This window comes from Homo sapiens, chromosome 1 (genome assembly GCF_000001405.40).
Source record: "Homo sapiens chromosome 1, GRCh38.p14 Primary Assembly".
Taxonomy (NCBI): Eukaryota; Metazoa; Chordata; class Mammalia; order Primates; family Hominidae; genus Homo; species Homo sapiens.
In genome coordinates, this window is record NC_000001.11 from 246,214,281 (window position 1) to 246,230,200 (window position 15,920).

General features: G+C 40.9%; 1 protein-coding gene across 11 annotated transcripts in view, besides 1 other annotated feature; it reads right to left on the reverse strand.

Moving 5' to 3' along the window:
• Positions 1-15,920, reverse strand: part of SMYD3 (SET and MYND domain containing 3) — a 757,933-nt gene that overhangs the window by 464,934 nt on the left and 277,079 nt on the right. Inside the window, exon 1 of one of the 11 annotated variants that reach the window (XM_024449162.2) lies at positions 5,523-11,040. The exons of 9 other annotated variants lie outside the window; for them this stretch is intronic. The gene's annotated coding sequence lies outside the window, so the exon portion shown is untranslated. Of the gene's footprint in view, positions 1-714; positions 11,041-15,920 lie in introns of those variants that run through there. One more of the 11 variants, XM_047428022.1, reaches the window with a different exon arrangement.
• Positions 5,883-6,835: an enhancer, noted in NCBI's record as "H3K27ac-H3K4me1 hESC enhancer chr1:246383465-246384417 (GRCh37/hg19 assembly coordinates)". NCBI's record gives its function as "activates a minimal SCP1, AML or CMV promoter by ChIP-STARR-seq in naive H9 embryonic stem cells {active_cell/tissue: H9 hESC(naive)}" and the evidence as "EXISTENCE:reporter gene assay evidence [ECO:0000049][PMID:30033119]".

Sequence of the window (15,920 nt, forward strand, 5' to 3'; positions counted from 1 at the left end):
TGGTAAAAGAATGCAAGATAACCAAAGAGGAGACAAATGTCATAGCAATCCAGCTATGAGTTGTGTACTCTGTGCTGGAATGGTAAACCAAGCATGGCAAGATATCTCAAAGGAAAAATGAACAGAACTGTCAATTAACTGTATATGAGGTAAAACAAAGGAAAAAAGACAAAGAGATGAGTTTTGAAACCAATATGTTGAAGCTCATAGTATCAGCTCATTTATTTAAGTGAAATATATGAAGGAATTGTTTAAAATAAAAACCAAGGAATTTTTAAAATAGCATGCCAAAGTAAGTAAATACATAATAAGTATGCCTCCAAGAAGTAAGGCTAAGAGAGAAACCAATTTAGATCAGTGGCCTCTTTCAGGAAGAGAGAAGGTTCTGCCCTATCCAGCATTTTCTATAAGGACAAGAGAAAATATTTTTTCAGTCTTCCAAAGACAGCTACCGGAATATTTAGGAACAGTCCTAAAAATCAAGAAACAGAATCTTCTGAATATGGAGGAATGATCATTAAAACAAAGAGGAATGGAGAATAGCAAAGCCATTTTGCAGCTAAACTTGCTGAGCCCCAAAATTATCCACTCATGTTTATGTTAGCAGTACTATAAAACTTATATATATGCTCTATTATCAAATACATTTTTCCACTTTCTAGTAGGTAAAATTCATGGAAACACTTAATTTTCTTTATTTATGCAGATTTTTACCTCTCTAAAAAATGCTGCTGCTGAGCTTTCTATTTTTGTTCATTCCAGTTGAAATGCGATGATTCATCGGTCATCACCACAATGGCCACACGCATGTGGAAGAGAAGCTCATGATTCTAATCTGCACAGTTGCTGGCGGCTAGATATGCCTAAAGAGGATGTGAAACAGCAGCTTCACTTCCAATGGAGATCCGGACAGTAATAAAACAGTTTCGCAATCTCTTCACTAAATACATCTTTGTTTGCATGGTCTATGTATATTGTCATGGGGCAGGTGCAGGAAAATATAAAATATACATATTTAAAATCCTACTGAGCTGCTGTGAAGTCAGTGACAAAGAAAAACACACACACGCTGGGGCTTCATGCATGTAGTTAAATAAATAACTTTGAGATCATCAAAAAGAGTCAGCACACCCATATTTCTTACTTGGCGCTCATTACTGTTCAAAGACACCATTTTTTTTTAATGCTGAGCCATCTTAAAACTTTGTCAGGCAACATTAAATTCTTCAAGTCTTAAGCCCTAAAGAAAGTTACCAGTAATGGGCAGTAACATTAAGTTAGCTTTGCATTTAAGAAAAAATATTTATCCATCTGCCTTCTCCCACAGAGTACTTTGGATCACTCTCAGTGGCCATCGTTCTCTGTCCTGTCTTCATGCAGCTGGGCTGAGCAGCAGCATGCCACAGAAAGGGGCCAGCGGAACTCAACTGTCCAAAGAAATGTCCAAACTGCTTCTGTTACGTAAAGCCAATGTCACTTTCCTTTTTTAAAGGAAGCCCTGGGGTGTAATCCTGCCTGAGATGAGTCCACTGACACGACAAAAATCTAAAATGTGTAACTATTTGGAGGAAAGTCAGTGTGTATCTTCCACTTGAAAGGTATAATTCCTTAAAAGGGACATAAAAATATTTTTTCTATTGTATACTCTAACAGTCAATAACTCACAAGGAAACCGAATAGAGAGCGAAAGATGGAGCACTCTGGACTAATGTGAAAAACAAACTCAAGGCCGGGCACGGTGGCTCACACTTGTAATCCCAGCACTTTGGGAGGCCAACAGGGGCAGGTCATGAGGTCAGCAGTTCAAGACCAGCCTGGCCAACATGGTGAAACCCCGTCTCTACTAAAAATACAAAATTAGCCAAGCGTGATGGTGCACACCTGCAATCCCAGCTACTCAGGAGGCTGAGGCAGGAGAATCGCTTGAACCCGGGAGGCAGAGGTTGCAGTGAGCCGAGATAGCGCCATGGCACTCCTGCCTGGGCAGTAGAGTAAGACTCCATTTCAAAAAAAAAAAAAAACTCATAAGCAGACTTCAGGAAAATGCCAAACAATAAAATACATCTCCATATTGGACAATATGGTGACCCCAACAACCCAGATAGACGCACTGACAAATATCTTCTAAATGCATCAGTACATTGTTTGTACCCTCATTTGGGGAAAAATATGCAAAAAAGATACCTAGGAACAAGTGGGAAAATCTGATATGGATTAGGTATTACAGAAAATATTAGAGAATTGTTACTAATTGTCTAAGACGTGCTATGGCATTGTTATAAAAGAGAACGTCTTTGTTTTTAGAATGCTAACAATTGATGAATCTAGGTGCTAAATTTCTGGTTGTATTCCTTCACCTTTTCTGCATTATTGAAAATATAATAAAAAATGAAGAAAAATAAAGGCATAAAAGAAGTTGTATTTAAAAAGAGAACATTAAAATAAAATTCATGATTTAAGTGATAAGAAAGAAATATCCTTAGAGTATTACAGTCAAGTAAAGATACCAGGCCAGTAAGTAAACTCTGAAGCTAGCTTTCTCACTAGAAACATTTAGCTAACCTGAGGATCCTGAACTTTCCCCTTGACGGAGACGTGGGCACAAAGCACTGGAGGCTGTGTGTGGGCCTCATCCAGACTGGAAAGTCTAAAACCAAACTCCTGAACAGACCTAGGATTTTCCAAGGACTATATGCTGTGAGTTAGAATCACTGTAAATTACAAAAAATCTATTCCACACAAGGGAGAGCAAAGAAGTTCTCAATCTAGACCCTAAATACTGGACAGAGGGGGATAATTTTTTTCTAGACTCATAAGCAGAAGTTGGCATCTAACCAAGCTTGTAGCCTAAATTTATATTATCTTTGTGGGAGAAGAAACCTCAAGCCCAGAAATTAACCTGAGCAGGATCCAAGGTTGTTAATGCCTTAGTTATCCATCAAAACAAAAGGCAAATTCACTCAGGGTGAATACACCTTCAATCCAGGCCTCAAAGAATTTCTAAAGAGTGTGAACTTACAGCTTAAAAAACAAAATCACAAGCCAGGGTAACGTAGGGAGACCCTGTCTCTACGAAAAATTAACTGGGCGTGGTGATGTGTGCCTATGGTCCCAGCTACTTGGAAGGCTGGGATGGGAGGATCGCTCGAGCCCGGGAGGCAGAGGTTGCACTGAGCCGAGATTGTACAACTGCACTCCAGCCTGGGTAATAGACCAAGACCCTGTCTCAAAATATAAATAAACTAAAAATTCTCACAAAGAAAACAAAGAAACAAAGATCAGTGAACAAGACTCAGCAGAAGTATTATATTGCTGAATCAACTCACAAAGAGTTTCTAATTTGGTATTATCAGAATTTAAAGTAAATATGTTTAAGATGTTTAAAGGAATAAGAGATTGAAAATATGAGGAAGGATAAAGAAAATTTTTTAATGTCTAGCTAGGAAAAAAAATACCATCTAGAAATGATAAATATAATTGTAATTAAAGTGCTAATGTAAAAATTGGCAACAGTTTTTAAATCCCACAATGTCAAATGCTGGTGAAGATGGTTCAGTACGAATGAAGTCAACTTTCAGAAACAATTTGACATTATCTAGTGAAGTTGCAATAAGCATACTCATGGCCCAACAATTCCATTACAAGTTATATATCCAAGAAAAACTCCTGTACATGTTCAATGGAAGATAAATACATGAATGTTCATGGCAATGATATGTGTAACAGTTAAAAACAGAAAATAAATAAACTATGGTACATTCATAGAAAACAATACAGCGATAAAACTGAATGAGTTGCAGTTACATGACCATCACGAATAAATCTCAGAATACTAGGTCAAAAAAAGAAAGTAGACAAGAATACGTACACTCTGACATGAGTAAAGTTAAAAACATACCAAATTATAACACATAAAAAACTGATTTCAATACATACAAGAAAACCTGTTAAAAAAAAAGCCAGTGAAAGGAACATAAGATTCAAGATAGTGATTATTTCGTGGGGTGGAGAGGGAGATAAGAGAGAGAAGCAGTTGTGCAGCTTTAAAAGTAGTGGCAACAGGCCGGGCGCGGTGGCTCACGCCTGTAATCCCAGCACTTTGGGAGGCCGAGGCAGGCGGATCACGAGGTCAGGAGATCGAGACCATCCTGGCTAACACGGTGAAACCCCGTCTCTACTAAAAATACAAAAAATTAGCCAGGGGGTGGCGGGCGGCTGTAGTCCCAGCTACTCTGGAGGCTGAGGCAGGAGAATGGCCTGAACCCAGGAGACGGAGCTTGCAGTAAACCGAGATGGCGCCACTGCACTCCAGCCTGGGTGACAGAGCGAGACTCCGTCTCAAAAAAAAAAAAAAGTAGTGGCAACACTGTATTTCTTAAGACTGGCTGACTGCTATGCAAGTTGTTTGTTTACTGTTATTTGTACCTTATATTTAAGGTATTTTGTGTGTGTTCAATAAAAATTATTTAACAAAACAAAAAAGCAATAATACTCACGGGTATCTTAGCCAAAAGCCTGAAGCTATACTAGTTCTGCACACAACAAACATGCTTTAGAAAAAGAGGAAACCAGTAACATTCAGGAATATCATAGCAAGACAATCACATGCTTCTGGAAAATACAGGATACTGTGGTAAGGAAATGACCAACGTTGTCAATTCTGTCCCCTTTCCAGGGATGTAGATCTCCATTTCACAGAGCACCAATAGCTTTATCTGTATGCCTGGGAGTTGTCAAGCCTCTCTTTTATATAGGTTGGGCTTAATTTAACTAAAACTCCTGATTTTCCCCTCCAACTATTGATAGGGACAGGGGGCAGAGAAATTCTAGGCAGAAAATGGTGGTCCCCAACAAAACCCCACCTTCAAGCCTCAAACCATGGCCCAAAGTAGAACTTACATCCCTGTTTCCCTGCTTGAATGCTGCCTTTTCCAAAACCACCTGTGGCCCTATCCCACCCCACCCTGTGCCTATAAAAACCCCAGATCCAGCCAGCAGAGAGAAGAGAAGCAGCTGGACATCAAAGACTGCAGCTGGATGTCGGAGAGAAGCAGCTTGACTTCAGAGGGACAGCCTGACGGGGTAACTCTGGAGAAGAATCTGGCCAGAGATGACCGCATTTCACAGGAAGATTACCTTCCTGCCCCATCCCCTTTTCAGCTCACCTTGCCACTGAGAGCCACTTCCATTGGCAATAAAACTCCCTGCATTTATCATCCTTCAATTCATTCGTGTGACTTCATTTCTCCCAGATGCCAGACAAGATTCTGGAGCCATGAGTGTGAAGACAAAAAGGTTGTCACACTGACCCTTTGCCCTCGTTAGCAGAAGGCAGCTGCCTCATGCGAAAAGGCAGAGGGCCCATTGAGCTGTTAACGCATAAGCCGTCTGCAGAGAGCAGAGCTAAAAGGTCACTGTAACACTCCCTCTGGGGCTTTCGTGGTCACAGGCACTCCCAGCCCCCAGATGCAGCTGCAGGCAAGCACAGAGTTGGCTCCTGCCAGCAACCAAAAAACACTCACCCAGGCTCCTGCACTCACACACCTGCATGCCTCCTTTCATGAGGGGTGGAACGCAGCAGATCCGACTGAGTGGGGTTCACTGCTGGTGCCGTAGTGGCTGGCTGACTCCAGCGACCATGTACTCCACCTCCCACCTTGTTGACTCATGCACTCCCTCCTGTGAGGAGCTGAGAGCTGCAGGTGAGTAAACAGAACACCCCTGTTGCAAGTCCCACGAGGGTGTCAGGGAAATATACTGCTTCATTATTGCTGTTCATTTGATTTCAAATATAATGATATCTAAACGCAATTTTTTGGCATTTACGTTCCTCTAAGCCCAGCCTTAAATTTAGATGATGAAAATCTTAAATTGTCCCAAATGGACACTACCTCCTTCCACATCTGTTGACTAGGATATTGATGGTAGTGGCCATTCCAGACGACCCACTGCTACCATCACACCAGCTGCAGTGAGGAGGAATGGCCGGGCCTGCACACTCCACAGAGCAGGGAGAAGACCCCACCCGCCCCACCCGCCATGCTCTCCCCAACCCACCATGCAGCTGCAGACCCAGGCACCTGCAGCCTCCCAAACCATGGCTGCAGACCTGGGACTCCTGCTCCACGAAGCAGGTGGGAGCCCCACCTGCCTGGGCACAGCTGCAGCTGACCAAACCACAGCTGTGGATCCAGACATCCCTGCACTTTGGGGGGCCCAGGAAGGCCCCTGACTGCACTCACAGTCTCAGAAATGCCTGCTTCAGCTGCCTGGCTTCTCTCTGCTATCGATGCCCACTCCGACCTGGGAGCAAAGTCAGGGCTGAGTCCGGGCACCATGAACAGCAGCAGGAGGCAGGCAGGTTCCTGGGCGGATGGGGCCTGGTCACCAGTGAGGCCCCATTGTCAAGCCAGGAAGGGCCTGAAGGCTGGGGGCTGGGCTGCCAGTTCCGGGGCATGGAGTGGAAACTTGTGGTGCCTTTTCCGGCCCACCCATGGCCACCTATGGACCAATCAGTGCAAACTTCCTCCCCTCTGAGGCCTGTAAATGCCCCAGGCTCAGTCAGAGCTGAGCAGACTGGGACAACCAGCTGCAGAGAGGAGCTACCCACTCCAGGGTCTCCTCTCTAGACTGAGAGCTGCAGAGATGGTACTACCAGCTGCAGAGGGGAGCAACCCACTCTGGGGCCTCCTCTCTGCTGAGAGAACAGACAGATGATGGGACGACCAGCTGCAGAGAGGAGCTACCCTCTCTGCCTAGAGCTGCAGATGATGGGACGACCTGCCTGCAGAGAACAGTCTCTTACTCTAGGGCCTCCTCTCTGCCAAGAGCTGGAGACAACGGAACAACTAGCCAAACAGAGAAGCTACCCTCTCTGCTGAGAACTGAACACTCGTTGGGATGACCTACCAGCAGAGGGGAGCAAGTCTCTCTGCTAAGGAGCTGAACGCTCATTGGGACATCCTGGCTACGGAGAGGACCTGCCCACTGTGGGTTTTCTCTGAGTTGTTCTATTGCTCAGTAAAGCTCCTCTTCATCCTGCTCACCCTCCACATTGCATACCTCATTCTTCCTGGTCACAGGACAAGAACTCAGGACCCACCGAATGGTGAGGCTAAAAGAGCTACTGTAACACAAACAGGGCTAAAACATGCCCCTTGCTCGCCACGTTGTGGGCAAAGAGAAGGAGAAAGGAGCTGCAACCCTTCGGGTAGCCCAGACCTGGGAGCTCCCTGAGCCAGGGCTGTGAGCCCTTCTTTGGGGCCCTGTGGTTCCTGGCATCTCCAAGTTTCCGGGATGTCACCACATTCCCCGGTGCCAGACGGGAAAGCCGCTTGCAGTGAACCCGGTCCAGCCACAGCCTCACAGAGAGCTGGTGCTCACGCCAGCACCTGGAGCTGCCCACACCATAGCAGCAGCTGGTGTGTCTGACCGCACAGTGGGCGGACCCCACGTTTGCTGACACACACCCCTCACCACTCCATGCCTGACTCCAGACTCCCTTTGAAGCACGGGATCCAGGCTGGTAGCATGAGCTGAGCGCAGCCTGCCAGGGCGAGTGGGTGGAACAAGCCCAGCAGGTCCAAGCAAAACTCAGGCAAGGGCACCACCAGTCACATGTTTCCGGCCAGAAAAGTGACACCCCAAAGACCCCATGACAGTATGACTTATATCCTGTTATATTGTCTCATCACAATTCACATAGGGTTGAATCTGCTATTTTGACTGTTTGTGATGTTTTGGCTAGCATCTGAACAGATGGGCAGTTTTTCTTCAGTATGACTATTTGCCAACAATTGGAAGGGTGTAAAACTCATTCTCAGAGCAACCCAAACATAACTACAAGGAGTCTAACAGATAAAATATCCACTGTTGTATTCAGAAATCCTGTATAAAGTGCCAGTGAATTAAAAGAACACTTTGGTAATGTGGTTAAATGAATGCTACTAATAATCATAATAGAACTGGAAATTTGTATAGGTATTGTGTTCACATTCATCTGATTATCATAGCTCTAAGAAATAGATATTACAGGTATTATTACGGACTTTATTATCGACAAGGAACAAAGCACAGAGAGATCCATATTACAGAAAATGGACTGAACTCAGAAATAAGAACAGGATTTGAGCCGATCTGTGCCTCATTAGCTGTGTAAACTTAAACAAGTAACTTAATTTCTCACAGCCTCCATTGCCTCATTTGAACACGCAAGCACAGTGAGACCTAACTCACAAGGTCCTCCTGAGAATTATATAAAATATATAAAAGTTATCAGCAAGAGCTCCTGTCATAGAGTAGATTCTTCATGAATATATCCTTCCTTAATTTATGAAATCCTCCTTGATAAGAAGAAGTCAAAACTTTTATCATTACTCTTTTCACAAAGGAGTCAAAGGTGATTTCAATTTAGGGAAAAAGAAAAGTTTAGACCTAAAACATTAATATAAACTGAAGGATGCAAAGAACTCAATGTTCTACAATCATACTTCAGTGGCCTCTCATTGTCTCCTGAAGAAATATACAGAATATAATGAGTGGGTCACCATGCGGTTTAGAAGGGGCAGAGTTGTCCTACAGTAATAATCACGGTACATTTGATGCTAAATCGTATGTGCTCTAATATTGTAATTTCACATCTAATACATGAAAATCTTTCCAATGAAGTTAGTTTATTCCCTATAGCATGAAGATAGATGAAGTTAAATAGTTTATTTCCTATAGCATAAAGATAGCCCTTGACATTCATTGTCACACATTTCCTGTTTCTGAGATCAGTAATTTGTAGATTCCTTCCTGAAGGTTCCAGCAAAGAGCTTTTACCCATCTGCCCAACTCCTTTGATTCAAGACAGGGAGGGGAACAGAGGTCTCCTCAGGAAAGAGAGTCTCCTGTACCCAGGGTGAGGAGAAAAGTGGTCATAAGGAAGCCGTGGGGCCACAGATGTATGACCACTCACAACTGATTCAGTGAGCCAAGAAGACAGCAGTGTTGCCAGAGATGGAAGGTGTTCTCAGAATGCTAACAGGACTTGCTGATGAAGGGGATGGTGGTAGGGGATGACAGAAAGAATTAATCAAGAGCGATGCCTTGATTTTGGTCCTGAGCACCTGACTGGGAGTAACTACTGAACTGGAAAAGATAGAGGCAGCCTGAGTCTCCTGTAAAATTCAGACACCTTCCAATCTCCATAATTCTAGTTTCTTGTTCCTGGACCTCTTGCTTTAGGGAGGCATATAGCACTTTACAAAGTATTTGCTCATTTTGTCATCTTATGTATATACTGAAAATGGAGTCAGTGTCACCAGAAAGGACACCTAATACTCCTTGCTTTTCTTATGGACCTACGACTATACTATAGGTGCTGAAGGTACCTATACCTATACTATTGGTATTGAAGGGACACAAAGATTTGACCTAACCTTAGAGTCACTTTGTAGGACTACTACCCCTTCTCTGTTTTCCTCCTTCTTCATTAACTCTTCCCTTACCTGACAAGCACAGCTGACTGGAATTGTGTACACTAAATGGTCCTTTACAATACGGAATACTTCAGTAATTACAATATGCTGGAATTGCTAAATTCTATAATTTCATTTGGATGAACTTAATCACATCATAGCATTCAATTTGGCTTATTTTCAAAATCAGCTTCGTTTATAAACTAAAAAGAACTGAAGGATTCTTTTCATTTTCAAGACTTCTCATCTGTAAGAGGATTTAGATTCTTCTATTTACAAGCATTCTTCTGAGAATCTTTCATTCTACACACAGGTTTCTTTGGGGGTTCTGTTTTATCTTTTTTCATACACTGCCTACCAGAGAGAACAAGACTGGCAAAAGGACTCTGTCCTCATAAAGCTCAGAGACGATGAACAGATAAACAAGTAAGTGAACAAAAATACTTCAGATAATGCTAAATCCTCCAAGGAGAATATGATACAGTAGATGTAATGGGAAGCTCCTTTAGACTGAGTGGTCAGAGAGGACCTTTCTGGGGTGGGGTGTGGCATTTGAACTGTGCCCTGAAGACCGAAGCAGTACAAGCACAGGAATTAGCAACTGCAAGGGCTCTGTTTGATAATGAACTTGGTAGGTTAAAGGGACAGAAAGAAAGCCAGTGTGGCTGAGGTGTGGTCAAGGGGATGTATCCAAAGTATAGCAATACATCAGAGAGGAAACCCAGGGGCAGATATATTAGTACTGAAATAGCATAAGGGATTCACACTGTATTCTAGGTGTAATGGAAGTCGATGGAAGGTTTTAAGGGAAGGTGCAGGGATTACCTAATTCATATTTTAAAAGGTCATTGTGGGCGCCACTGAGAAAGAATATAGAGGAGCAGGAAAGGAAGGAGGAGGAGGAAGGACAGAAGGAAGACTACTATGATTGCTCAGGCAAGATATGATGTTACGTTAGACTATACTGGTGGCAAAGAAAGCAGGGGAAACAGACTTTAGACATATTTTAAAGAAAATGTTAATAGGACTTGCTAATGAATTCAGTGGTGATGGGGGTAAGTGACAGAAAAAAAATTAAGAGTAATGACTAGATTTTTGTACTGAGCACTTGACTGGGGGTAATTATTGAGGTGGGAAAAACAGAAGCAGAAAAAGGAAGGTGGCAGAGGGAGCCGAGGAATCAAGAGTTCTGCTCTGGCTATGTTGAGTTTGAGATGCTTTTCAAATATCCAAGTGAGGATGAAACCAGTAGATGGCTGGACATACGAACGGGAGCTCAGTATAGCAATCAAGGCTGGAGATACAATTTTTTTTTTAGTATATTGGCATCAAAGAGGGTATTTAAAGTCATAGAAATAAATTAGAATCCTTTAAGGAGAGGGTTTATTTAACGAGAAAGAAAGGAGAAGAAAGCTCAGGACTCAGCCTTTCATAATTCCAGTATTTAAAGGTTAAACAGAGCATCAACAGCCGTCAAAAGATGTTGAAAAGAAATGGCTAAACAGAGGGAAAAACAAGAAGAGTGTTGAGTACTAGGAGCCAAGATAGGGGTCAGTTATGTGGAAGACTGCTGAAAAGTCAAAAAAAAAAAAAAAAAAAAAAAAAAAAAAAAAAAACAGAAAAGACACCAGATTTGGCAAGACTAAAGGTCTTTGGTAACCTTATTAGAACAACTGTAATGAAGTGTCAGAAAAGAAAGTCCCATTAGAATGGGCTGAAAAGAGAATGGAAGGTGAGGAACAGGGGAGAAGGAAGAGACAATAACTACATAGCAGTCTTTTCAGAAGTTGTGCACAAGTGTGTGAGAGAGCTAGAGCACAGGAGAGCGAGCCCGCACCAGCACACACTTAACACAGGTGACAACAGAAGTTACGGAAAGACAGTGTCTCTGGAGCATCTGTAATCATCTCCTTCTTTGTTTTCCTCTTCGAGTCATTCTGCTGAAGTTCCTGAATAAACCATACGGATCTACAACATACATACATCTCAGACCTAGTATCTCTTTTGTTCAATCTCTCCATATTTTTCTGCCAAATCTAATCAGAGGTTTTGCGGAGGGATTCGTAACAACTATATTCTTCATTTTTAAAAATGTGTGCAAAATAGTAGCATTCGGTAAATATTACAAGATTGCAAGGCTAGATGTATCTCAAAGAACACAATACAAAAGATGTAAGATGCTCTTCTAACTGGAAATGGTGGAAACTTCATTATGAATCCAATTTCCAAATTATTTCCAATAATGAAGGCCAATGTATGATCTAGTCACCTTTGACAAGATCGGTTTCCATAATATGTTTACTTGCTTTTTTTCACACTGTCTCCCAATCTGTTCTTTGAAGTTTCTTCTTGCCTAAAATAAACTTCCACACACCTGCTCTATAAACCCGAACTCAAAGTGTAGCATTTTTACCTCCATAAATGTTTTGGACACTATGCTGACAGAAGAAGAAGAGGAACTAAATGACCTGTGAAAGCCCCTGTTAGTTGCTTCATACTGATACCGAATTTCTAAATGTATTATAAATGCATTTCACAGCATTCCATTAACATGTCAGAGGACTTTCTTTTCCACTAAGCACACTTTGCATGAGTTAAATATCATTCTTTTAAATTTACATAAAGACAAGTTAAAGATGAGGCCATGTACTACAGATTTATTTAATCTACATGAGACCTAAGATATATTTTCATCAATGGCTGTGCTAGAATAATTATAAATTACAGAAAATAAAACATTCAGTTAGTGGTATAGTTTGCCTAGAATTGATTTTTTGATGCTGATTATATAACCCATTAACTGACTAAAACTTCTTCACTCGAGTCACTGCAGCGTCTGCCACCATTTGTGTTAGTGTTTACACATAAAGATCACACACATTTGATGCGTCCACTTTCCTTCAAATATGGGTTAGAGTGGAACTGGGAAACAGAACCATTTCTAGTCTTTTTACAGCTTTGTTATTTTGATTTTTAAATTTACATTTGGAATAAAGAGAAACTCTGCTATAAGAATCTCATACTAACCTCTGAATAAAGTGGAGATATGCAAGTACTCCAAGAAGGCAACAGAATTAAATATATTTTCTATGAAAGATATTAAAACCAAAAGTGTTTAATAATCTTCATTAATGAACTTTAAAGCTCAAGAAGACCTTATAAATCATCTAGTTCATCTTCCTTGGTTTCAAAATCTACTCTTGAATTTATTTAGCATTATGAGATTATTAGATGAGGTTATTTATTCTCCCTAATTTTAATATTGATAATTAATCTTTAATAAATGCTTGTGATTTTTGACATATTAAATTCTAAACCTCAACATTTCAAACAGTCTTAGATCATGAAGAATATTAACCAAGTCCAACGTCCCATATACTTTGTAGTAAAATGGTAGACCCTGAGGTGAAGTGGGGCAATAATTTCATGAGAACACATCACAGTACATGGTTAGATGTACTTTCCACTTTTTCTTCTACTAGAAAACTAAGTTTCTGTTTTGGGAAGTGCTGGCTTTGTGTTCTGCCCGTTTATGCTTTAATTTCAGCTCATGCACTGGGGCGCCCTCAGGAGGATTAAAGAAGACAACTTTGGCCGGGTGCGGCGGCTCACGCCTGTAATCCCAGCACTTTGGGAGGCCAAGGCAGGTGAATCAAGAGGTCAAGAGATCGAGACCATCCTGGCTAACATGGTGAAACCCTGTCTCTATTAAAAATACAAAAAATTAACCGGGTGTGGTGGCGGGCGCCTGAAGTCCCAACTACTCAGGAGGCTGAGGCAGGAGAATCACTTGAACGTGGGAGGCGGAGGTTGCAGTGAGCTGAGATTGCACAACTGCACTCCAGCCTGGGTGACAGAGTGAGACTCCATCTCAAAAAAAAAGAAGAGAAGAAAGAAGAAGAAGGAAGAAGGAAGAAGAAGACAACTTTGAGTGGTGGATGAAACTCCGTCCTAAAGATTCCAGGCTGGAGAACTGGGTCCTTTTAGCCATCTTATTAACAGTTTGAACTTGAAGAGATCACTTAACCTCTCCAGCCACTCTACCTTTATGCATAAAATGAAAATAATATTAGTTTACACATAAGTATTCAAATAATTTCCTAAGGTCTCACCGATCTCTAAAAATCTGTGATAAATATTTTCATAAAATAGATTTGGCATCATATGCTATGTTATTTATATTTACCTAACACCACATTTCCTTATTTTTATTCCTTTTTTTTTTTTTTTTTTTTTTGGAGACAAAGTCTCACTCCATCACCCAAACTCCAAACTACAGAGTGCAGTGGCAGATCTCCACTGACTGCAACCTCCGCCTCCCGGGTTCAGGCAATTCTCCTGCCTCAGTCTCCCGAGTAGTTGGGATTACAGGCGCATGCTACCATGACCGGCTAATTTTTGTATTTTTAGTAGAGATGGGTTTTCACCATGTTGGCCAGGCTGGTCTGAAACTCCTGACCTTGAGTGATCCACCTGCCTCAGCCTCCCAAAGTACTGGGATTGCAGACGTGAGCCACTGCGCCCGGCCTCACATTTCCTTATTTCAATGTTTACTTCAGAAGGCCCTAAAGCAGGGCAATTCAACTGGCTTCCATGTTTACTTATCATTAAAAGTTATCTTACAGGACTCTTGGGATTGTGTCCTTTTTAAGACAACACAAAGTTCATAGAGTAATGGACTGTGTGGTACTCCTACCCGAGGCTCCAACATTTTGAGGCATAAGAAAATCAAGTATCTGGTTCTGATTTCCACTCTACTTTGTTGCCATTTTTAGCAACAGTTGATGGCACTTGACCTGATCTCTTTCCTGGTCCATTGCCTATAGGTCAAGCTGACAGCAGCATAAAACCCTAAACAGCCATAACTTTTTAGTATCTATTAATAGATACATTTTATGGTGGCTGAAGTGACAATCTAGGTTCCTTTGGTTAAGAAGTTCAAAATCTTTATTCTACTGCTATTCCTTTCTGTATAAGTTTCTCAGAGAAAACAAGGTGTTTCCAGCAGCACCATCACTTTATGAAAAAAATTAAACCTCCATCATCTAAATATAATGTTTTTTCTAAAAGAAGCCTTCTTTTTTTTAGTATGTATATTATTTTTAGATACTTCCATTGCTTTAAGAAGTTCCCATGATCTTTGAGACAAAAATCAAAACATCTTTGGGATGACAAAACTAAAAATGAATAAATAGATAAAGTGGAATTTTTGAGCCAACTTTTTTTACATTTTCATACAAATTTCGAAGCTACAATTAACTTCATTTAGACCATGAATAGCAACCTAATGGGGCTGTAACAATTTCCACAAATAAAGCTACACTATTTGTTTCACATTCACTAAGGATGACTATTACTCTAAATGTTCAATTAGTTCTTCATTTATTTTAAAATTAAATTCATTATAAAAATAATGTTAGAATATTATCCAATAAATTTTCTTTGCTCACCTTCAAAAATTCTACATTACCGTTCTCTTGAGAAATTCTACATTTGGTTTTTGTTCCTCATCTTATCATCCTGCAATAATTCTTTGAAATCCATTTATCTTACTAATTTTAAAAAAAAGGGATTAGTGTCTATTTAAATCAAATAATTAGTAATAACCTATTGAATAAGTTTGTGATAGAAGGTGTTACATTGTTTCAGTCTACCTGCCATTGAACAAAATAATGCCAATAATTTACTTAATCCTATTGAAATTTAAATTTTGCAACTCTCTTTATAGAAGGATAAAGTTTACAATTGCCCTTTATCCATCTTATAGAGATGATGCAAAGTTAAATTATGCACTACCATAGTCTGTTTTCGCAGTTATAATGAAATACCTCAGACTGGGTAATTTAGGATAAACAGTTCACAGTTCTGGAGGCTGGGAAGGTGCTAATATCCAGCAAAGGACCTCTGACTGCGTCATCTCGTGACAGAAGGCAAGGGGCGAGATACAGCAAGAGGGGGCCGAATTCACCTTTTATATTGACACCAATCCCACCCATGAGGGTGGAACTCTCATAGCCTCATCACTTCTTAAAGTTTCCACCTGTTAATACTGATATAGTGGCAATTAAATTTCAACACGCATTTTGGAGGGACAAACATTCAAATCATAGCACGTGCCTTTCAAGCGTTTTGAGGTATTCAGAAAATGGCAAGATACTAGAAGTATTTTAATGTGTTCCTAAAACATTAAACCTAAAACAGACTTATATCTACCTTCAGCTCTAAAAATCTGGGCCTTCAAGATTTTTCCAAGTGTTAAGCAGGTGGACCCCAAAAGTGAGGCACAAACTTCACATTATCCAAACACATGACAACGTTTAATATCACAGTATTTAAATGCTACTCTAATGAATGTGTGAAGATTTTCTAATCTGGTAATTCACCGAACTTTTAGGAACCATGACTTTTCCTAAAGCCATGACCTGGTTTTCTTCTGAACTACATGCTATTCTGTATATA